Raw genomic sequence first — 23,364 nt, forward strand, 5'->3', positions numbered from 1 at the left:
CTCTTTCCCCCACCGTCCCATCCTCAAGGCCACTGAGTGTACACCAGGCATGCTGGATTTGCAGGTGTGGGGGCAGCATCAATTATGCTGCTGACACGGGGCTTGCTAAGCCTGGGGGAAGCTCTGGGAAGAGAAAGAGGAGTGTCCTGGGGTGGGTGGAGGAGGGAAGGAAAAGCAGATGTAGAAAAGTCTGGAAGATGCTTCCCCTCCACCACCAGAGCCAGCCCCCACCGGCTGCCTCCCCTAGCCAAAAGGCAAGGCTTCCTCGCAGCAGAAAACATATACACATATTTGCAAGCTACAGTACAAACGAGCGGCAAACCTAATGATTCGTGATTATTATTTGAAGGGTCCCACTGTTACAGATTTATTTGTCATTTCTTGTAATAACACCGACAGTAATGAATTCGTTTGTATTAATGTGAGTGTCACGAGGACTTCCGTCGAAATTCCGCATTAATTAACGTACCATTAAAACAAAGTGTCGCCCAATTAATATCTAACAGAGGTAAGGCTGCCAGGGTCCTCTTCATCTGGGTTTCATTTGTAATTCATGGTATTAGCATCCTGCTTAATGAACGTCATTTGCAATTCCTACCGCTGGTCTCTCCCACTTCCTGGGGGAAGGTCAGGGTGCCCTAGGAGCTGTTGGGCCCTTCACTGGGCACCCCCGGGGCCAGGAGGAGAAGGAGGGAGGGGTGGGACTCTGTTTCTAGGTGGAAATCGAGTCTCCGCATTCTTCATTCCAGAAGGGGCTTGGAAGGCCCTTGGAACTTCCTGATCGGTTGGTTATCCACTTCAGTTACCCAGAAGATACCTTCTTGAGGTTCTGGTAGGGAAGAGAAGGCTAGTTTGTTTCTTGGTCAAGCCTGATCTTAACAGATGAGACCATGGCCATCCTAGGAAAGCCTTCCAGCAGGGAGCACCCAGGATTCTGGTTTCCCTCTTTTCTTAGTGTCAGCCTGGTGGTCTTCTCATGGTCTTTGTGTGACATGAGAAGACTATCAGACTGACCCCAAGGACCCTCAGGACCTCTAGCTGTCCCTGAAGCCAGCAGTGGAGCCCAGTGGGCCTTGGTCTCCGAGACACAATAGACCAAGGAATTGGACCCTCTGCCCTGTTCCTCCCACAACCCCTGCGGCAGGGCCCACCTCCCCCAGCAGGGACAGAGGCACCATCATCCAGCCTTTAGAGCTCTCAGGACCCCATCCTGGGACAGCTCCTGAAGACAACATAGCCGGGCACCCTCCCCTCTCAGGGAATGCTCCTCAGGTGAGTGGACCTCCTTGGGCTGTCCCCGCCCAAGTATAAGAACCTGAGGCTGCCACTGGCAATAATGAAGTTTCCTGCAGTGATGGCTACTACCGCTATGACTGTGGGCCAGGCCTCAGGCTGTGTGTCTCAGAATCATTACTGCTAGGCCCACAGATGCAGGAGGAAGGTGTTATTGCCCCCATTTTACAGATGAGAAAACTGAGGCTCAGAGAGCTTCAGTACTTTTCACACAGAGGTGGAAGAGGGGAACAAGACAGGTGTCTGGGTTGTCACATTGATGTCTCTGTGTCCTCCCATCCTTTCCAGCTAGTGATCCACATGAGAGCTGGAGGGACAGGGCAACAGGGGGCCAGGCCTCTGGCGTCCTGGCTTATAGTGCCCTTGACTCTCAGAAAGTCCTTCCTTCACTGGTCGCCCACATGCAGGGACTGTGCCCTGCAGTCCTGGCACATGGCAGGTGCCCATAGCCAGCCGTGGGGCGTTTTAACCTGTGCTTCATCTGCATGAGAGTGTCATATATCTCACTGGAGAGTGAGGCTCAGAAAAAAAACAGGAAAGGGAGGGAGAAATGCTTTCATTGATTTTTGCTTCAGAACGTGCTGCCTTTCTATATTCCAAGGATGGTCCCAGAGCAAAGAGGCTGGCTTGGAACTAGAGTGCCTTGGATTTGAGGAAGGACTCACAACTGAGCAGGAAGGGAGTGCGGAGTGATGTGGTTCTGCCCCCTCATTGGATGGACAAGGACCGGAAAGCCAAAAAGCTTTGATTCTTGTCCAGAATCACACAGGGGACCCTGGTCCAGGGTCTTCTGTCCCCCATCCAGGGCTCTTTCTTCCACCCCATGCTGCTTCCCTCGAGGTTAAGAATGCTGTGTGTTTGGGAAGCCACCTTGCATCCATGTTTGGACAAGGTAGGGGACGTCAGGGAGTCAGCACTAACATGGGCACCTGCAGGCAGAACTCACTGCAGAAACCGTCTGTGTGACCACCATCCAGTCCCCCCACTCCCAGCTTCAGCTTTTTCATCTGTAAGACAGGGTTCCTGGGCTAGGGCAGTGCTTCCCCACCTTGGCTGTACATGAGAACTTGATGGGAATTTAAAGATACAGAGTCAGGGACTGGGCGCCAGCCTGCTATTTTTTAAAAGCTCCCCAGGTGATTCTAATATGCAGCCAGGGGTGTGAACCATTGGAATAGACATTGGAATAGGATCATTCGGTCCTTCTTCACTGATTGAAGCTTAAGCCATTCCTCCAAGGTCCCCAGAGCCCAGTGACTCTGCAACTGCCCTCTCCCTGCCTGGGTCCAGCTCCCCGCAATCTCCTCAAACCCCCCGGCCCTCACCACCCCTCAGCTCCTCTGCAGCCCCGTTCGAACCTTCCCCAGCTCTGTCTGCCCCTAAGCCCCAGGGCACCAAGTGACAGGTTCCACTTATCACATCACACCGCCTGAAGGGCCGGCAGCAGTAGCCTCAGGATTGGAGAGGCAGAAACCACACCAGGCCTACCCCACCACACTCATACCTGCCCAGGCCTCTGCTGCCCCCTTCACCCACTCCTTCAGAATGTACACTCACCCAGGCTTGGGACAGAGGGACAGGGGTGGGAGGAGTCCGAGGGGCAGGGGAGGAGAGACAGCAGGAGAGCTGCGTTGCTGGAGCTGTCTTCTTATTCAGAATCCATTTGTTAGGCACCGCTTCCCATAGATGTAAGGCCCGCCCTGAGGAGATTTGCATATTCATTTTGTTTAACATGATTCATCATCATGCAAAGGAATGAATTTGGGGGCTGGGAGATGGAGCCCCATTTGTGAGCAATAGATCTGGGTACAAAGAGCTCAGGGCAGTGTTAGAGGCTTTTGCACACCCAGAGTGGTCCCCTTTGGGATGGAGGTGGGAGACATATGATCCCCAGAGGGTTCCCTGGGAGTTTTATCTCTGCTAAGGGCAAAGCAGGGACCTCAGCCTTTAGAACCTTCCCCTCCCCTTCCAGACCTTCCCACCATAAGTAACATCTGCAAAGCACTTTGCAGTTTACTGACCCTTGTCTATACACATTTCCACCTTAACCCTTACACAGCCCCGTGAGGTAATAGCATTATGACAGAGCCAAAGATTTACTGAGCACCTATTATGCACTAAACACTTTACACGCTTTGTCTCCCATAAGCCTCACTGTATCTCCATGAGGCAGGTTTTCTTTTTTGTTTTGTCGGATTTTTGTTTTTCATTTTTTGAGACAGGGTCTCACTCTGTGGCCCCAGCTGGAGTGCAGCAGTGCAGTCACAGCTCACTGCAGCCTCAATGTCCTGGGCTCAAGCATTCTTCCCATCTTAGAGTCCCAAGTAGCTGGAACCACAGGTGCACACCACCACACTGGACTAATTTTTTTTTTTTTTTGGTAGAGATGGTCTCACTATGTTGCCCAGGCTGGTCTCCAACTCCTGGGCTCTAGCAATCCTCCCACCTCAGCCTCCCAAAGTGCTAGTCTTTTTCTTATTTAAAAAAAATTCCAGGAGACTCCTTGCGTCTCTCAGTCACCACTTTTCAGAATCTACCAAGTCTCAAGGTTACTGTATGCCTCCAGCCCCTGCAGCCCTGGGTTCAGAGACAGTGCCCTGGAACCGTGATGGCCCAGCTTCTGGACTACAGGCTAGCTTTTTAGACAGGACTCTTCTTATAGATCACATCGTATCATTCCCTGGATTTTTCTCTTGGAGTTTTCTGCCTCTGCAGAAAGTTGTGAGAATTTTTTTTTTTTTGGCCTTTGATTTTTCAAAATATGTTTCCATAGTTAACTCATTTTATCTCCACCCCAGCTCTCTATAGAAGATAGTATAGGGATTACTATACCCATTTCCTGGATGGAAACACTGAGGCATCAGATGTTTATGTTGACATTGCATAGCAACAGAGAAGGAAGTGGGAAGTTATTGGAGAGCAGCTGGACTGTGACCCAGAGTCTGGGACAGTTGTTTCTGGGACTTTCCTAATCAGGCCAGTGTGCATGGAGAGGAATACAGGCACCACACGGATCCTTCCTGGTCTCCAGAAGCTTGTTTCCAAGTCCCTACTTGAGGGCACGGGGGTATGAGGCTTCCAGCAGCCAATCAGACCAATCACTCTGGCTAGGGAGGGGTATGAGATTATGACTCTAAATAGCTAAGAACTGGATTTCCCAACTCATACCTTTATTCTTGGTTTCCTCCCATTTCATGGAGAGGAAAACAGAAGCCCAGCCCACGAGGGAGGGGGTGGTACCTGGTACATGCTGCCTGGTGTTGAAAGCAGATGTCCTGGGCGCTGGGGCCAGGGTGGGTATCAGGGCTGCACCGTCACCACGGCCCTCCCTGTTCCCTTTTTCTTTGCGCACAGCCCTTAGCCCACTGCTGGGAATGGAAATAGCATTCTTTATAACGTGAAATTATTTCTTCCTTAGTGTTTCAGCCTATAGTGTCACTGTTATGAACTTTGGTGCCACTTTGACTCTTGATCCTTTGTATGTGGGCCAGCCGTCCGTCCCTGATGCATGATACCCTCTGCTGCCACGTGCTCTCTCCCTCTGCTCCTGCTGGTCTGCAAGTGAGAAGATGCAGGGGGAGCCTGGAGGAGGCAGGTGCAGGGACGGCCCTGGAATATTGTCAGTGATGGCAGGTGGCACTGGGGGATCTCCAAATTCTACTGTCATTCATTCTACAGGAAGGTCACTCAGTTGGAGTCAAGGGTAAGGAAACTTGCCTTGGAGCTCCTTAGTCTCTGAATAGGAAGGAGCTGGGGCTGTTTCATGCTTGGGTATCACACTTGGCCTTGAAAGTCAAGCTCCTGAGAAGAAGGGAGGGAGGCCCCAGATGTCCCTCTGATGAGACTCCACCTAGCTCTGCATGTCCAGCATGTGTGCATGGGGTGAGGGAGAGGGTGTCTTGCCCCAGACCCAGGCATGTGTGCTAGAAACCTGGGTGGAGCCAACAGCCTCTTCTAAGAAGGGAGGGAGTGTCAGTCATTGGGTGGTGATGTCTGACGTCTGCTCTCTAGGGGAAATATCCAAAGGAAGGCAGGTCAAAAAGACAGAGGCACCATGAGCACAGGCCTGGAAGGGGACCACACTTTGGGGCTGGCACATAGAATAGCTGAACTGAAATCGAGGACCTCAGTGGAGCAGTAGTGAAAGAAGAGTTTAAAGAGAGAAAGTTTGTTGAGACTATCATGATGGTCAAGGCTTGGGAGACTTTGCCTTGGAGCAGATGATGGTGATTTGGGGGGAAATGAGATGCTGGATGAGTGCTTTAAGGCAGGGACTTTCAGGATCCATTGCAGGGGGCAGAGTTGAAAGGGAGGAGGCAGCTGGGCACCATGGCTCATGCCTGTAATCCCAGCACTTTGGGAGGCTGAGGCAGGCAGATCACTTGAGGTCAGGAGTTCAAGACCAGCCTGGCCAACATGGTAAAACCCTGTCTCTACTAAAAATACAAAAATTATCTGATCATGGTGACACAAGCCTGTAATCCCAGCTACTGGGGAGGCTGAGGCAGGAGAATTGCTTGAACCTGGGAGGCGGAGGTTCATGCCATTGCAGTCCAGTCTGGGTGACAGAGCGAGACTCGGTCTCAAAAAAAAAAAAGAAAAGAAAAGAAAGGGAGGAGGCCACTCAGTGGTGCAGCCATAGGGAAAAACTGTTTTTAATTTTGATATTAACCTTTATCAAAGTAATATATGTATGAATTTAAAAGTCAAATAGTACAGCTCAGCTTATAATAAAAGCAGCAGACCCTGATTCATTCTTTACCACTCCTGCTTCCCACCCATAGAGAACCTCATTCAATTTCTGATATTTACTTCCTTATTTCTAAATCACATGCCTATACATTGTTTTAGTTTTGAATATTATCTATTGATTTTTCACCTATGAAGGATGAGAATTTCACTTTTACACCATCCTCTACCTTATCTTTGCTATACACACACACTGGAGCATGCACCCTACTCTTAACATTCACTGAACCCTACTCTTAACATATATACACCCTACACAAACATCCTACTCATAACTTTCACTATGTCCTACTCTTAACATACATACACCCTACATAAACACCCTTCTCTTAACATTCACTATCCATCCTCCAAACTTAATTATATTTCTCTTTTTAGCTAAAACAGCATTTAGTGTACACAGTATTATGATTATGTAAATGTTATTCACAGCTGAGCCACATAATATACTGTAATTATATTTCCTCTTTTATTTTCTCTAGAATTAGTAATCACTTCTTTTTTTGTTTGTTTCTTAGTGTTCCTTAATGCTTGATGTAGGGAGCCTCTCAGCATATTCAAAGTATATTGAGTTTTTAAAATTTGATTTTCATTTTTCTTAACAACATTCTCCCTGGAGTGTCCACCCTCCTGTCTCAACATGGGCCAGCTGTGCTCTGACTTGTGTGGTGTTCTGGAGGCTTGATGTGGGGTGGGCATTGGAGAGGAAAAGAGGGTCACTCTGAGGAATCTGTTATCTCTCTTCTCTATTGGATCCCTTTTCATGAATGTCATATTTTCCTGTTTCTTGGTTTACAGTTTCTTGAAGTACACTCTTCAGTAATTTTCAGAAAAAAGTGTTCATGGGAATTTTTTTCACTTCATCTGAACAATGCGTTCATGCTATGCTTTTGTTTGTTGATAGTTTGGCTGTGTATAGAATTCTGGAATGGAAATAGTGTTCTTTATAATGTGAGCTTATTTCTTCCTTAGTGTTTCAGCCTATAGTGTCACTGTTATGAAATTTGGTGCCACTTTGACTCTTGATCCTTTGTATATGACCTTTTGTTTTCTCTCTGAAAGTCTCAGGATTTTTTAAAAATAATCAACGTTTTTGAAACTTCATGGTTTTATGCCTCAGTATGAGTCTTTCTTCTGAACACATACTGGTCTCTTTCAATCTGGAAACAGGTCCTTCAGATCTGGGAGATTTTCTTATGTTACTTTTTGGATGATTTCTTCCTCTTCATTTACTCTTTTTTTTAACTTATTTATTTATTTATTTTTGAGACAGAGTCTCACTCTGTCACCCAGGCTGGTGTGTAATGGCATGGTCTTGGCTCACTGCAACATCTCCCTCCTGGGTTCAAGCGTTTCTCCTGCCTCAGCCTCCTGAGTAGCTGGGATTATGGGCACCCACTACCATGCCCAACTAATTTTTTGTATTTTTAGTAGAGACAGGGGTTTCACCATGTTGACCAGGCTGGTCTCGAACTCCTGACCTCAGGTGATTCACCTGCCTCGGCCTCCCAAAGTGCTGGGATTACAGGCATGAGCCACCATGCCTGGCCTGTATTTTTTTTCCTCTGGAATTCCTATTAGTTGGAATGTTGGATATTCTGAACTGCTCCTCTAATTTTCTTACTTTTCTCTCCCATTTCATCCCTTTGAATTTGTTTCTACTTTTGGGGAAATTTCTTTATCTTCCAACTCTTCTCTTAAGTTTTTAAATTTCTACTGGGCCTTTTTTCCTCTTGGAATATTCTTTTTCCAAAGATGTTGTGTCTTGTCTTTCTGAGCATATTAAAGATGCTTATTGTTGTTATTCCTTTTTACTGTTTTTTCCCACTCTGTCTTTCATGTTAGAGGCTCTTCTCAAATGTTTAGTGATCCTTAGTTGTCTCTTCATATATACCAGTGAGTTCACGTGTAGCTGCCTGGAAGCTTGCTGTGTATGTGTGGAGCAGGGCATGGTTGGGACTGCTTGTTAGCCAGTGGGCTCCATTATGGGATGATTGGAGGAGGACCTGGCTGTTCTTTCGAGGGATCTGCAACATGTCAATGTTTGTGTTTTCTCTTGCACCAGTTTTCCTTTTTACTGCCTGGAGCCTTCAGGAGGCTGAATGGCTAAAGAGAACTGAAGAGGGATGGGATTGGTGGGGAGGGTACAGATTTCCTCCTAACCTCCCTGTTTTCAGTGCCTGGTTCAGCTTCCATCCATGAGTCCAGAACCCAACTAACTCAGACCCTCTAGAAAGTAAATCTCACATTTTCTGCAAGAGTTGGGGAAGGGATCTGGGAGTCTAACCACTCTTTTTAAAGCTGTTTGGCCCCACCCCATTCCCTCCCACTCAGCATCACCTGGTGTCTCCGGGTCCTGAGCTTTTCCAGTGTTCTGAGATGCCGGCCTGAGCTTCAGCTCACCCGTCTCCTAAGGCAGTTATAACTGGCCCATCTGTTTCCAGTTTCCAGAATTTTGTTGACATCTCTCATCTGCTGTTGTCTCCTCTCCTGTTCTTTTTGCCCTTGTGGATTTGTGCATTTTTAATTCCTTTATTGTCATTTTGGTGAGGGGCTGGGACAAAAACAGAATTAAATGGATGTGTTCAATCTGCCATGTTTACCACAAAATCCTGATTCTTTTAAAACATTTATTGAATGCCTTCTATGCACAAGTGACAGTGCCAGGACTAAAGAGGTATCCAAGGTAAATAGCAAAAAGGAAGAGGAGGGTGAAGAGTGGGAGCTGGGAAAGAGGGGGAGGTCTCGTATGGCTGCAGCAGGTCAGGAGGGCCATTCGATAAGCACTTTGATGAGTGTCTTTCAGGGATTCCAAAAAGCCAGTACACAGCTGGAAGCTGTGAAGGAGGGACTCTGAGGAGGGACTTGGAGATGGGAGGGTGCTGAGTTGGCTCTGGAGGAGACCAGAACAGCTGGGGAGACCAGCTTAGGCCCAGAGAGATGTCCTCGAGCCATGTCAGGGTGTGAGTGACTTAGGGCCCAGGCCACAGAGCTGGCAGCCCACCCCGGCTCTCAGAGCATACCTGGCACATTTTAGATCCAGTACATTTCACCCAAGAGAGCAAATACTGGTAGAAAGAAGAGATGTCGTCAAATTATCGCTCCCCGATTCCTCCAGGCAGAGATGCCGGAGTATGGGTACACATGGGTTTATGCACACATGTGCCCCTCCCTGACCAGAATGGGGCTCCCTGAGATATGTGTTGGTGCCCCATGGGCATTCGCCCCTCCTGCTTCTCTCCCCTATACTGTCCTCTGTGTGGACCTCGTCCTCCTGCGCTCAAGTGCCTTCCTGCCTATTTGAGAAAGAAACATAGCCCACCTCTCCCATAGACCCCATTTCTCCTCCATCACTGCTCCCCCATAAGCTGGAATGCCACAAACCCCCATATTTGGAAGTGACATCCTCCCAAAGCATCCCAGTAGGAGAGGCGCCTGCTTTAGCATCCAACAGAAACCGAAGTGCAGATGTTTCTCCTCTGCCCCAGGAGCCCATGTTCAGAAAGTTCCTTGCCTCTGACTTGAATTCTTCTTGTTCCAATGGGAGCCCATTTTCTTATTCTCAGTGAAAGTGTGCAATTTTGAAGTACCCTCCTTCCTTCCTAAGCTCTTTTTTGGCTACAGCTCCCCACCAAACCTCTGTTCTCTTACCTAGAGGCGTCTTCAGCTGCCACCCTCATCCCCAGCCCTTCCAGACCAGGAAGTCCCACTTGAGGAGGGGCCCTGAGCCCACTCTCCACCCTTTTCTCTGGAATCCTGAGGTCTGGGCACAGAAAGGTGACCCGACTTTGAATCCTGATTCCACCACTTACAATCTGTGCGACCTTGGACAAGTGGCTTCATTTCTCTGACCTTCCATTTTCCCCATCTGGGAAAAGGAAGCAGGGAGCGGAGGTGTATAAAAATGCAACTGAGGGCAGAGGATGGGAGGGCAGAATCCCACTAGCCCCTCTCCTCTCCCCACCCCAGCCCCAGCAGACAGCTGCCCAGCCTCTGAGTAGCACAGGAGGCTGTTACCAGCTCTGATCCACCGAGAAGCCTGCACCTTGTCAGGACTCCATCTGTCAGGAATTTATTACTAATGCATTTTATAACAGGCTCTGTAATAAGATATTAAAGACTGTAGCAGCATCTAGCAAGCATTCCATAAATATTAATAACACCTTTAGAGATGGCACCTATGGTGGAAATGGTAGGGCTTTTTGCCAAAGTTTGGTCAAGGGTACAGCATAAATCTTGAAGGGGGTGAAGGGAGCAGGTGCACCCTAAAGGTGAGAGGGTGTGGCGTCCTTCTTTTCTCTCTCTCTCCTATCTTCCTTTCTCTTGCTGCTTAATTTTTGTATGTCTTTTCCTCTGTTCATAAGTTTTCCTCTAGAATGTCTCTTTTTTTTCCTGTTTCAGTTAGTTCCTTTCTCCCCAAGTTTCCTTTCCTCCCTTTTCTCTCGCAAATTATCTTTCCACTTTATCCCGTTTTCACTCTGGCCCTCAGTCCTGCCCCTCTCACTGTTCTCACCGCATTTTCCTCTGTGTTCCTGTGCTCTTCCTTCTCCTTGCCCCTCCTCCCTGCCCCCCTTTCTTTACTGCTCTCTCTGTCTGGTTCCTCCTTCCTGCCTCTCTGCCCCACTCCCTCTGGCCTTTTCTCCCTTGCTGCACACCCTCCCTCACCCTGTTCCAGTGAGCAACCTAGCCACCTCTGGAGAGGCCTGGAGTGTAATGTAACTCACACTGCATGTGAGAAGTGAGCTATTTATCATTATTATTAACAAACAAGATCCTTTGCACGGCAGAACTTTCCCAGAGTCTATTCCCTTGTCACCCCAGGAGTAGCAAAAAGATTTATTTGTCTCTGAATTGCACAGGGTGGCCCATTTACAGCAGGTCCATCAGAAGTGATATGGAGCTTAAATGGGAACTGGAAGAGGCAAGACCTGCCGTGGGTTACTTGGCGAGAGAGACAACCTGGCAGGTGCAAGAATTTTGAAGGGGATAATGCCTAGACATGCTCCCTGGTCCCCTGAAGGCATGGGTGTACATTTGGGGAGACTTCCTTTGAAATGGCCCAGAAGCCATAAGGGAGTAGGTGGGACTGGGCAGGGGGGTACCATGAAGGAGGGGAGGAGGGAAGCAGGGGTGGGGCAGAGAAGTGGGTCAAGAGGCCTCCCTCAGAAGCAGAAGTGATCATGCCCCATGGGGTCTTTCTTCCAAAGACCACGGCTGCTCCTTTCCAGCAAGAAGCTGGACCCAGGGCGAGTGTCCACAATGGAGGTGTTGGAAGAAGCTACCCTGGAAAGGAGGAGCCCAACCCCCAGCTGCAACAGGCCTCTTGGTGCTGCTTCTACAACTCCAACCCGTGCAGCCCCAACCCCAGACACTCCAAGCCCCACCCCAGACGCCCCGAACCCCACCCCAGACACCAGAGCGACATCTTCCACTCATTCTCCTTGTCCTCAGATGGCAAAGTCTGGCCCTGCCGAGCATCTCTCTTCAAGGCCTGTCCTGGCTGACTGTGTGAAGTCCATGATCAAGCCATCCCTTGCCCGTCCGGCCACCTCCCCATGCGCATGCTGATAATTGCCTGCAACCTGGATTTGCACGTTAATAGGAGTGTCTGGAGACGGTTAAAAAGAAGAGGGAGCTGGCATTTACCCAGGCTCCTTGATTCTTCTCCCCATTGTAACTTCCAGCCTCGGGTGGCGGGCACTGTGCCCTCATTAGCAGTCCAGGAGTGGTGGCCTGGCACTTTGCTTGCTGTGGGCGCTAAAGAGGTAGAGTCCCATCAGCAGAGGGTCTGGGTGAGCCTGGGGCAGAGCCATGGAAATGAGGAGGCCCTGCCCATGGCTGGGCATGTTCTGGGGGGCAGGAGCAAGGAGCTGAGACCCATGCAGGCCAGCGTGAGCAAGTGGGGTGCCCATAGAAAGGACGGCACAGGCAGGTCCCAGCACCGCAGCCATGGGCAGGAGACAAAGTCAGCGGGGCCTGGGACAGCCAGGGTGGGAGGCTCTTGGAGGCCCTCATCTCCATTTTTTCTCCTGCACTGTGCTCTGCTCCGCTCACTGCAGGTGGGCTTCCTCTGACTGCCTGTGGCATCTCTGCCACCCTGTAACTGTGGCTTTTGTGTGGCTCTCGGCCTGTCATGGTGCCCACTCCAGCCAGATAACAAGATCTTTCTTTCAGATTCTCAGAGAAAATTGATTTAATTTCTCAGGCCCCACCTGATTGGCATGGCCTGGGTCTGAAGTCACTTGGAACAAACATGAGTGCCTAGACCCATCACCTAGAGCAGAGCTGTGGTCATGAGGAGCAGCTGTTCTTGGAAGGAGGGTGGGTGGGGAGGCAGCTGTTGGTATCTCTTTGGGTGGGGTGGAAAGAGCACTCCGTATGAGTCAAGGCACCCGATTTCCACTCTTCGACTCTGTCATGATCCACTTGTGAGGCCTGGAGCAAGGCACATCCCCTCTCTGGGCTCATTTTCACATCTGTAGTCCACCCTAGGAAATGGGGAGGCTGGACTAGATGACCCCAAGGTTCCTTCCAGCTCCTGCATTCCAGCCATCCAGGGTGGTGTATGGTCAGGACTGGCTTCCTCGTTTAGGAGCCTCCCAGGCCCCCAGGTGCCCCCCTCACCCCTGCCTCAGATCCCACCCCTCCCCTCACAGGCTCTCAAGCCCATTGTGGAAGGTCTTCTGGGGCTCTTCCATCCTCATCTTGTCTTCAGCAGCCAGGATCCAATCAGCAGAGATGTTCTCTTTCTGAATTTTAAGGTGCCCATTTGTCCCAAGTTCATGGTGAAGAGATTCATTAACTGTTTACACTATTTCTAATACTTCCCCCTTTATGTGGGGCTCATCTCACCCTGCCTGTAATGATATTTTATTACTATAGTAATAAGTGCAATAACCATTTATCGAGTGTTGCTCAGTGTTGCTGTGTGTCTGGCCCAAGGAGACTCTCTTTTTTTCACACCTTATCTCTTATAATACTTTTTTTTTCTTTTTTCTTTTTTTTTTTTTCTTTTTTGAGACGGAGTCTTGCTCTGTCACCCAGGCTGGAGTGCAGTGGCATGATCTTGGCTCACTGCTACCTCCGCCTCCTGGGTTCAAGCCGTTCTCCTGCCTCAGCCTCCCCAGTAGCTGGGATTACAGGCACGCACCACCACGCCCAGCTAATTTTTGTATTTTTAGTAGAGACGGGGTTTCACCATGTTGGCCAGCCTAGTCTTGAACTCCTGGGTAGGAGCTGCTAACAGCTCCATTTTACAGATGAGGAAACTGAGGCCAAAAAGAGGTTTAACAGCATATGTCTGCAATCTCCCAGGGGAAAGTTCCAGACTCAAAGTTAGGGAGTCTAACTCAGAATTCATGCTCTGAGCCACCAAGTGTTACTCCCTGTAGCCTACCTGGAAACCCAGATGCACCTGGCCCCATAAAGCAAATCTGCTTGCATTGAGTCTGCAGATCTGTGTGCATGTCTGTGCATTTCCATGGAACAGCAGCTGGGTGTTCAGACAAGCCCCCAGTGTATGTGCTGATGAGCGCCCCTCCTTCCCCGCATCTACTTCCCTGATAGAGCATGGTGCCCAGGACCTGAAATGCAGGAAGTCAGCATTCTTTTCTCTCCAATAGTTTGTCCCTTCTAAGTATATGAATGGCTCCTTGCCAGGCCCATTTAAAACCTTCTCTAAGTTATGCAGAAATTAAATGGGTTTTCACCGCAGGGCATGAAACATAATCCAAGAAGGTCAGACGTGGAGACCATCACTTCTTTTTCCCCTTTTCCACCATTTCCTGAATCTTGCTCTTAAATCCTCTGATCAGATGCAGAAGGATCAGAGAGGCTTCCCCTCAGGACCATGCGGTATGGACAGTCAAATGTCCTCGCCTCCCCGAGGCAGGGAGCTGGAGAGCTGACATCTCACGGGAGCCGTCCCTCTCCTCTGGGCGCCAGCTTCATACAGAGTGGTTTAAGTAGACTGGCCGAGTGCTCTGAAGTGAGGGCCGGCTACCCTGTTTCCTGTTGTTGTTGTTGTTGTTAAATATTTGGTAGAATTCACCAGTGAAGCTGTTGAGTCCTGTGCTTTTCTTTGTTGGAAGATTTTTGATTACCGAATCAAATAAACATAAAAGCATAATGTTGAATTAAAAAGCAAGCTTCAGAGTGATCTATTGTATATGAAAACCATCTATTTACAAATACCCACAAAACAGTATCTTATATTATTCATGGCTAGATATAGATACATATGAAGTACAAAAGCAGACTTTCACACAGGGGGCTGGCAGCTCTGAAATCAGAATGTGGCCCTCCTTTCTTGTGGCAGGAGCCGTGGGCCCCCATGAAGTGTTTCGTTCTGGATTCATGGGACTGGCTCTGGCACTTCTGTGTGATCTAGAAAGAGAGAGGGCAGGACAGAGAACTGTGGGTTAGCTGAGAACCTCAGAAAGATCTCCTTAAGGTGGGGGAGGGGTGGTGGAAATAAGGGATGCTAAGGTACCCAGGGCTTAGCAACAGGGGAAAGTTCTACCCCTAGGGCTGAAGGGAAAGGAGACGAAAATTGTATTATCAGAGCCCACTGAGAGTTGGGGCCATGGAAGAGAGCCTGCTGGGGTAGAGCTGGAGGGGGTAGAGGAAGTAAGACCCCAAACTCTTTCTCTTCCTGCTCTGGGAGCTCCTACCAGAACTTCCCATTGGCAGAATCCAGCTGGAAGCCAGCCAGCAAGAGAGCCTGGAGATGCAATCCATTGAGAGCCCGGGGATTGGGGAAAGGCAGAACTGGGTGGATCATGGTGCCAGGGGAGTGGGTAGACAGGGAATGCCCTGGATGGTACTGTTAATATCAGTGCTTCTTGACACCTCCCTGCCCCACCCTTGAAGGTGCCCTTGTCTGTGCCCCTCTAGGTTTCCAGAAATTAAAATTGCAACTACTGTCTTCTCAGCACTTATGTGCTAGAATGTTTACACTCATGATCTTATGTATTCTTCACACTAACCCTGTGAGATATGATTAGCTTCAGTGTACAGTGAAGGGATTAAGGATCAGAGAGATTATGTAATTAACCCAAAGACACACAACAAGGCTGGGATTCCAACAAATGGTCTGTCCATCCCTGAAACTCTAGCACTTGTCTGCTTTGCCCCCTTGCAGACTTGATTCTGTTTTGGAGGGAATGAGCATCTTCCAAGCAGCTGAATTAGGATAGGCAAACCTAGCAAAGGAAAAGCACATTCAGACAGCCAGAGGTGTGAGGGAGCCTGCTGGGTTCAAGAAGTATAAATAGCTCCATGCCTCCAGGAAATAAAATGTGAAGGGGGAGACGGGAATGGACCACAAGGGCCTGTGTTCTATGCAAAGGGCACTGGGGAGTCACGGATGGTGAGGAGGAGAGGGGCGCCCTGCATCTGCCTCCTGTCCCCAGTGGACAGAGTGGTTGGAACAGGCAGGACGTGAGCCTGCCCATTCAGGTTGACACTTGTCTGCTGATGGGGGCAAATCCACAAACCCAGGAAGAACCCTCAGCAGCCCCATCCATTGTTCTCCGGAGGCCCTTTCCAGCCTGACCAGGGGCCCCGTAAAGAGCACCCCTGTGTTAAGTGCATGGTCTGTCTGTGAAGGGCTGCCAGGAGGGAGGCTTGAGGCTGGTCCCCAAAAAGGAAGCCTGCAGCTTGGGCAGCCAAGGAGCATTTGACAGAGGAAGCGAAACCACCAAGAAACAGGTTTGGGGACCGTAAGACCCCTCATCCAGAACTCTAGGTTAAGCAAATCATCTTTGGAACTGGTGCTCTTTACAGCCACCAGGAGGCCATCAAAAAATGAAGAAGAGGAAAAGAAAAGATACCGCATTTTAAATTTTGGGGCCCCTCCTAGAATGAAAATGACAAGGCCTCGGGTCTGGTTGGCTGAAGGATGTAGAGAATGGGCTTTGAGGGACTCAGCCCTGATGGCGCAGCTGCTCCGCACTGGCTCACCCTTGTACTTGCTTTGCTCTCATCCCCAGAATACACCAGTGGGGACGCCCATCTTCATCGTGAATGCCACAGACCCCGACTTGGGGGCAGGGGGCAGCGTCCTCTACTCCTTCCAGCCCCCCTCCCAATTCTTCGCCATTGACAGCGCCCGCGGTATCGTCACAGTGATCCGGGAGCTGGACTACGAGACCACACAGGCCTACCAGCTCACGGTCAACGCCACAGTGAGTCTCCATGCTGGGGCCCCGGCCGTCCCAGCTGCCTCTTCCCACCCTGGAAGAGAGTGACGGGGCATTCCAATGGGACATTGACCCAGTGGCACACACTCGATGATCTATAATAATTATAGTGGTGACAGTCATGATAGAAATGAGGCTGGCATTACTGAGGCTTTGTGCTGTGTCCCTGGCACCGTGCTGAGCACTCAAAGGGACTTTAAACCTCAAGCAGCCCCGTGTCATAAGTATTGTTAAGATGCCCACTTTGCAGATGAGAAAACTGAGGCACAGGAGCAATTCAGTGACTTTCCATGGTCACCCAGGAGCCCGACTCCATAGCCTGCTCGGGTAACTTCCTTGAGACATTCTTAGTGCAGAGTGCCTCTTGCTCTCTGGGACACAGGACAGAGGTGTTCACCCAGCTGTGTCCTGACACCATCCAACCTGCAGGGCCCAAAGGAGTTCAGGCATCCTGCCTCTACTCCACAGAGTGGTGACATTCCACATCATCCCTCTGTGCCAAGCACATTGCTGGCCCCTGGGAATTCCAGGATGAGTGAGTCAAGGGCAGAAGGCAGGAGAGGGTAATTATCCCATCTGATGGCTGACTCTGTTGAGGGTCACACAGCCCATGAGTAGTGGCGGAGCAAGAACCCAAACCAGGTTGTCCACCTCTCAGTCCAGTGCCCTGACCACCATGCCCCATGGCTAGACATCTCCAGGTCTCAAGAACATCGCAGCATGCCCTTTGTGCCAGCTGTTTGGGAGATCCTGGGGAACAGGCAAGCCACACTCTAAATAGGGTCCTCCCCCTACCCGCCCCCTCTCCTTGCTCCCAGCTGCTGCCTCAGGGCATAGCTGGAGCCATCAGCTGGCAGCAGGGCCGTAAGCTGGCCTGTTGTCCCTTAGATTCTGTTGACAAAGCTTACGCCAAGAGCAAAAAAACATGGGAGTCCCTCTCAACCCTCCAGGTCCTATCTGCCTGACACTCAGCATCCACTCCTGACCCACATAGCTGTCAAGGGGCCTGCCGGCAGCGCTGGGGGGCTCTCCTTGGTAGGTCACAGGCTCTAGATCCAAGGCTCTGGATCTGGACTGGGTCCAGAATCCAGTTTTGAAAGATGGGGTGCCCCCAGACTTGGCCAAGATGCAGAGAGAGGCCTCAAGACCCAGGAAATGCGAACTTCTTGTTTGGCCCTGGCCCAGTGGCTGTGGGGAGGTCACTGCAGGTGACACTCACGTTCTTTCCTTCTCCCCTGTTTAAGTGTTAGTTGCCTGGGAGGAGCTGTGTGCTGCTGTTTGTAAAACTGACCTCAGAGGTCAAGGGGACATGCAAGCCCAGGATTTGCTTTTTGTGCACATTTGCCTGCACCTTCCATGCAGCCTGGCACCCACACATGCGCTGCCCCTCCACCGCACTGTTTGCACACACCAGGGCCCAGAAACACGCAGATGCTTGCCCGCTGTGGGATAATTTCCACCCACCATAAAAATGGCTTTGGACCGTGGGGAATAGACCAGAGCTGGGCACAGGCAAGAATCTGGGTGGCGGGGCCTATCAAGAGGACTGGGCTCAAGCTGGGATGATGAATACAGTTAAATTGCTGTTACTCTCCCAGTAATCAGGCTTGGAAGCAGCAGAACAGGAGGGGCCCTAGAAGTCCCTCTCTAGATGGCTTCTCCCTTGCTTCTGGAGGAGCTGACACCGAGTCCTTCTCGGGGCTGGTGCTGTGCCCTTGGCTGCTGAGCACTTCCCCAAGGAAGGAGATTCTCGGCCTGGCATTGCGGGCAACAGTGTCAGTTCCCAGCCACCACTGAGCTGGTACCAGGATGGGGAAATTGAGGCATCCTCTGGGAACAAGCTGCTGAGAGCCATGGGCCCCAGAGTTACAGCTGGGAGCCTGACAGGATCACTCCCCTTTCCCCACCACAGAGTCCAGAGTGGGCTGGGCAGGGGCATTTGTGGCATGAACAGGACTGCAGTCACAGGTATGGGACAGAGAGGGCCTGTGCCAGGCTAGACAAAAGCCAGCTGCCTGCAAAAGCCTGGTTATGGCAAATCAGAGCCACTGGCATCCCCTGTCCAAGAGGTCAGGGGACTTGTTTTGAGCTTCCCCGCTCCAGCCCTGGGTGCCTGGTGGTCATTCAGGTCCCTAGCTGGGAGCTCTCCCCATGGGCAGTGCCCAAGCCTGCCGTGTGGGCCCCAGTCCTGGAGCCTGGGAGGCTGCCTGCCGAGAACCTCTCTGCTCACCTCCTGCTTCCAGACCTTCCTCTCCCTTGCAGCACCCACTCCCATCCCTAAAGGCCCTCCCACCCTCTCATTGGCTGTCCCTGAGGATTCCTAAAGACAACCAGCCCTCCCTTCTCCTAGGCACAGCAGCTCCATCTCTGCAGGCCAGGAGGAGGCACCAGGCTTCTTGGAACTCCAGGAATGCCTTGCTTCATTCAAGTCACCCCAGACAAACTAAGGGAGAGCTAACCTGGGGACAGTCGCTCCTCAAATCTTAGCTCAGAGAATGTTCGAGCCTGAGGGGCCTTAGAAGTCATTCACTTGAGCCCCTTCATCTCACAGAAAAGGACATCAGATTCCCAGGGGGAAAAAGAACTCATTTGAGGTTACTCAGCAAATTAAGAGACCGAACTGATGTTAGAGCCCCAAGTCAAAACTGTTAGTGGCAAATTTTTATGTGAAAGGATCTGAGTTTGAGTTCTGGCTACACACTTAGAAGTTGTATGACTGTGGACAAGTTACTCAGCCTCTCTGAGTCTCTGTTAACTCATCTGAATAATGGGCTCATCATAACTACAGATGCGAGTGAAGTGCCCGGTAGAGTGGCTGCCACGTCATCTGTACAAAGCACTGCAGTTACTATTATTGCTGGCTATTGTTATTCAGTTGCAGCAGGCTACTTAAACAGTAGAAGATAGATTTGGAGTTTTCTTTCTTGCCAAGCATTAAAAAAAAATTTTTTTTTTGAGATGGGGGTCTCGCTATGTTGTCCAGGCTGGAGTGCAGTGGCTATTCACAGGTGCAATCTTGGTGCACAACAGCCTCGAACTCCTGGGCTCAAGTGATTGCCCCACCTCAGCCTCCTGAGCAGCTGGGACTACAGATGCATCGTTGAGGTTTTATACAATGAAATTCCCAACTGACGGTTTAAATATTGCTTGCCTGGCTGCAGGGGGATGGCCTGTGTGACCTCTCAGGAGTCTTTCTCGGAGTCCCCCAGATGTCACAGACCCTGGAGCTCCCCCTGCTGGTTGGATTGGGAAAAGTCACTGAACCAGTAAATCCCCAGCCCAAAGCAAGGGACTCATGAATGCAGGGACACAGGTGCCAGATTAATCCCCTCTGTGGCCTTTCTTCTGAGGAGTCCCCATCTTTGTCAATCCTCTGCTGCCCTGGGATGAGTGGGGGCAGGAAGTGGGCACAGAGAGGGGTGGTGACCTCCAGCTGAACTCAGCAAAGGAGCTGAGGGCAGCACCATATCTACTCCAAGCTGGTCATCCCACCACCGGATGTCCAAGGAAGTCAGGCCTGGGCTACTAGGGGCTGGAGGTCTAGCTGTACCCCAGCCCTGCTTTGTAACACTGGATAAGCTGCCTTCCTCTGGACCTTGGGGATGCTGTTTGTGTTTTCCTGTACAGCTCAGAAATCACCATGGCTTCTTAGAATTCTTAAGCTTCCTTTTACTAAGCCCTTCCCTGCTGGAGTGCAAGAGCATGGGTGTGTGTGTGCGTGTGCATGTGTTTGCACTTATGTGCTGCACGGTGCAGGTCTGTGTGTGTGTGTACATATGTGTGTGAGTGTCCCCACCATCACTCAACCTAAGGCTGTGTGTTCTCTCCGCTCTCTAAGGATCAAGACAAGACCAGGCCTCTGTCCACCCTGGCCAACTTGGCCATCATCATCACAGATGTCCAGGACATGGACCCCATCTTCATCAACCTGCCTTACAGCACCAACATCTACGAGCATTCTCCTCCGGTAAGACTCCTGGCCCTTCCTTCTCAGAAGTCCCTTCTCAGAGGGACTTCCTTCTGAGCTCCTGTTAGGGATGGGCCCTGTTAGTGGGCTGGGCTCCTCCTTGGCTCCTCCGCAGTCCCTGTGCGTGGCAGTGATGAGTGTTCTGGCACAGCGAAACCCCAGCCACTCTTCACACCACGCCCATCTCCTCACCCTCTCACTCTACCCAAGGGGCTCTGTGTGGCAAAGAACAAAGGCTTCCAGGGCAAGTAACGGGGAGCCATTCAGACAGACTTATGTGGAGGGATGGGGATCCCATGGAAAATTCAGCCTGTGCTGAAGAATGGACTCAGTCTGGCTCCACAGAACATCAGTGTGGCTCAGCCGTGTCTCTGCCGTGTCAGTCTGTCCCTCTCTGCTGATGAGCACTGCCAGAGAGGGTGGCAGCTGCCCTTCTTCAAGGGTCCTCTTGGCCCCGGCTCTTCCCTGCGAGCTTGCAGCTCCTTCTGCCCTCCCTAATGCCCAGTCTTTGGATTTCTTAAGTCCAGGTTTCCAAGAAAGGCTCCTGATTTTTCTGGTGTGTTGCAAGGTCATAGGTCACCAGCCTGTAGATCGGCTACCCATGGGTGTCTTAGAGGACAAAACATGCCTCGGCCCACTCTGCAAGGCTGTGGATGGAGCAGCTTTGCTCAGCTGTGGGCCAGACGGGCAACGGCAGCCATCTCTAGTCTCATAACCATTCGTGCGTCTGTGCAAACTTGAATGCAACACCGGCTGTGGGTGGAAAAATTAGAAAAATGCGCCTCCCCTAGGCAGTCACAATCCCTGGTCATTAGCTTAGGGAACAGCGTTTGGGGAAAGAAAAATGAGCCCCTTCTTTTGAGAGAACTCAGTGTGCTTAAAGGAAGGACTCAGCTTTGGGAGCAAAGTGGGGCACCCGCCTAAGGCTCGTGAGCGTTCAGGGCCCCACCCGCACCCCTGCACAGGCTCACAGAATTGAGTGTGACAGGTGAGCTTCCCTTGACTGGGGTGCAGGCTGTGCTCCTGGGCCTGACCCCTCATTTGGAGACCATGGCTGCCCTGGCCACTGGCCTCCCTTCACAGCATGAGGCCGCAGTCTCCTGGTGTATGGGGCTGGCATTTGGCCACTTCCTTCTTGGGACAGGTGTGGAGGGAGGCTCTAAGAAGCAGGATCCTTTCCGGCCTGCTACTGTTGAGTGTTTGAAGCTGCTTTGAGAGTAGAGGGGGACAGATCAATGCCCCCAATTCCCCAGCCTTCTCTTTCTTAGCATTCCGTGGGCAGTGGGAGCCCCTGCTTTTGAGACTGAAGGCTGTCTCTTCTCAGCACAGCCCAGCCCATTTCCCATGACTTTCCTAGCCCCTTTTCTCTCTGCCCCTAGCCCAACTTTGCCAGGCCGATACCTTCTCAGCATCAGGTCAGCTGTGACGTGCTGTTTTCAGATGAGGCAGGGCCCACAATCTGCCCATGGCCCCTGGACATCTCCTGAGTGGTCAGCACTCTTGAACAACTTGCCCCACCTCTGCTCCCCTGAAGGACTGGAAGCGTGCAGTTCAGCAGGGACAGGGTCTGCTGTGGGCATAACATACAGTGTGTGCTCAGGAGATGGTAATGGAATGGATAAATGAACAAGCACCCTCACCCTGGGCAGACCAGCATACTCACCATCCTGCACCCTCTCCGCCCCTGTGCCTGCTCTTGTCGCCAGCCCAAAGTCCACCCACCCATTTGTTCCCAGTTCACTCTCTACCTTTCTTATAATTTTTTCCCTGGCTTCTTCCCTATCCGTCCCAGAGATAGCAACTCCTCTCCCTCAACCCTGGTAGAATTAACTCTCTCTATGCTGTGTAATTTTCCACTTAATTATAGTCTCGCCTGTAATGTTACCTATATATGTGGGTTACTTCTGAGCCCCCAGTAATCAAGGTACCTGAGTCTCTGGGACATGATCTCATCCTTCCTTTGGGTCTCCAGGGCATCATGCCCAGAGCTAAGTGCAGGGAAGATGCCCAAGGCCAACTAGATTGAAGTATAGAACATGGCAGTGGCTGGGCAGCCAGAGGAGCTCAGAGGAGTCCCGCACTGCCGTACTCACTTTGGCTGAATCAAACGGCCTCCTGACCAGGTCCTCACTGGGAAAGGGGGATAATTGTGCCTGCAGTGGTGCCTCCCTCTCCTTAGGGTTTTAACGGTTGGAGATAATGCACATAAAACACACAGCAAGTGCTGCCAATTAGCGGACATTAAACCACGCTGGGCAGTGACCTGGTCAGTCAATTACAGTAGCTAGGTTGGGTTGGGGCTCCCAGCTTCAGCTTCCTTTCAGAGTCGTTGTAGTTGGCAAGAGGTGTGTTCTTGGTGTGAGTGTCCCCTGAGACCCCTAGGTTGTCTTTTTCTAGTATCTTTTTAGTATATCGTGCAATGCTAAGTTTGCATGCTTTTATTTCAGACCTGCAGATTTCTGAGCTGTCCATCCATTGGGTCTGCACTTCATCCTTTTATGCACCCATCAGACATTGATGCGGCTGGTCCCATGTGCAGGCCCCATGCTAAGCCATGCCCTCTGCTCTACAGGTGATCCCACAGGCCCCTGCTAGGACAACTCCTCAGTCTCAGCAAACCAGAGCCTTGCCCTCCTTAGCTTCCGGTCTCCTGATGCTCCATTTCTTGGCATATGCTGTGATTCTCCTCTCTCAGACGCAAGGATCTTGATGTCTCTTTGCCTCACCAGTATTGTTCCTTTGTCTCCACAAGGGCACTAAGGCCCATGCCCAGGGAGCTGCTAGACCCCCGATCTGGGTGGTGCAGGTTTCAGCCCCACAGCTTGGCTTATGGCTGGGCTGGGGGAGCCAGAAAAGGCAGTGCATTGAGGGTTTCAGACCCTCCAGCCTGGCCCGGCTCCCCTGGGGCCCACAGAATCTGCCTCCGTGTCCACACATCTCTGCCCTTCCTCCAGTCTCCACACTTGAGGAGTTCTCAGGTTCCCTCGCCTCTTGCAGAGCCTCTCTCCTGCAGGCCGATTCCCTTGCACTGCCAGCCTGATCCTTCCCGGCTGCTAATTGGTTTCTGTGCCTTGATCTGGGCCCTCCATGTCCCTTTACAGTGTAGAACCCTGATTTAACGCAGCATTCCCAGGCCGGGCCCAGGCTGAGATG

General features: G+C 51.0%; 1 protein-coding gene and 1 long non-coding RNA gene across 6 annotated transcripts in view, besides 4 other annotated features; one reads left to right on the top strand and one right to left on the bottom strand.

Annotated features, from left to right (window-relative positions):
* The window catches only part of CDH23 (cadherin related 23), a 419,028-nt gene that overhangs the window by 153,788 nt on the left and 241,876 nt on the right, over positions 1-23,364 (top strand). For all 5 annotated transcript variants that reach the window (NM_022124.6, NM_001171930.2, NM_001171931.2 and 2 more), the window contains exons 7-8: positions 16,035-16,229; positions 20,083-20,211. In NM_022124.6, the coding sequence (NP_071407.4) occupies positions 16,035-16,229; positions 20,083-20,211 (324 nt within the window). The remainder of the gene's footprint in view (positions 1-16,034; positions 16,230-20,082; positions 20,212-23,364) is intronic.
* Positions 330-2,982, bottom strand: LOC105378355 (uncharacterized). The gene is made up of 2 exons (XR_946054.3): positions 2,851-2,982; positions 330-829 (listed from the first exon to the last, which is right to left on the bottom strand). It is a non-coding gene; the product is annotated as an uncharacterized LOC105378355 (long non-coding RNA).
* Positions 11,361-11,884: an enhancer, noted in NCBI's record as "H3K4me1 hESC enhancer chr10:73321825-73322348 (GRCh37/hg19 assembly coordinates)". NCBI's record gives its function as "activates a minimal SCP1, AML or CMV promoter by ChIP-STARR-seq in primed H9 embryonic stem cells {active_cell/tissue: H9 hESC(primed)}" and the evidence as "EXISTENCE:reporter gene assay evidence [ECO:0000049][PMID:30033119]".
* Positions 11,885-12,408: an enhancer, noted in NCBI's record as "H3K4me1 hESC enhancer chr10:73322349-73322872 (GRCh37/hg19 assembly coordinates)". NCBI's record gives its function as "activates a minimal SCP1, AML or CMV promoter by ChIP-STARR-seq in primed H9 embryonic stem cells {active_cell/tissue: H9 hESC(primed)}" and the evidence as "EXISTENCE:reporter gene assay evidence [ECO:0000049][PMID:30033119]".
* Positions 16,884-17,705: an enhancer, noted in NCBI's record as "NANOG-H3K4me1 hESC enhancer chr10:73327348-73328169 (GRCh37/hg19 assembly coordinates)". NCBI's record gives its function as "activates a minimal SCP1, AML or CMV promoter by ChIP-STARR-seq in naive H9 embryonic stem cells {active_cell/tissue: H9 hESC(naive)}" and the evidence as "EXISTENCE:reporter gene assay evidence [ECO:0000049][PMID:30033119]".
* Positions 21,107-21,608: an enhancer, noted in NCBI's record as "H3K27ac hESC enhancer chr10:73331571-73332072 (GRCh37/hg19 assembly coordinates)". NCBI's record gives its function as "activates a minimal SCP1, AML or CMV promoter by ChIP-STARR-seq in naive H9 embryonic stem cells {active_cell/tissue: H9 hESC(naive)}" and the evidence as "EXISTENCE:reporter gene assay evidence [ECO:0000049][PMID:30033119]".

Source organism: Homo sapiens, chromosome 10, assembly GCF_000001405.40.
Source record: "Homo sapiens chromosome 10, GRCh38.p14 Primary Assembly".
Lineage (NCBI taxonomy): Eukaryota > Metazoa > Chordata > Mammalia > Primates > Hominidae > Homo > Homo sapiens.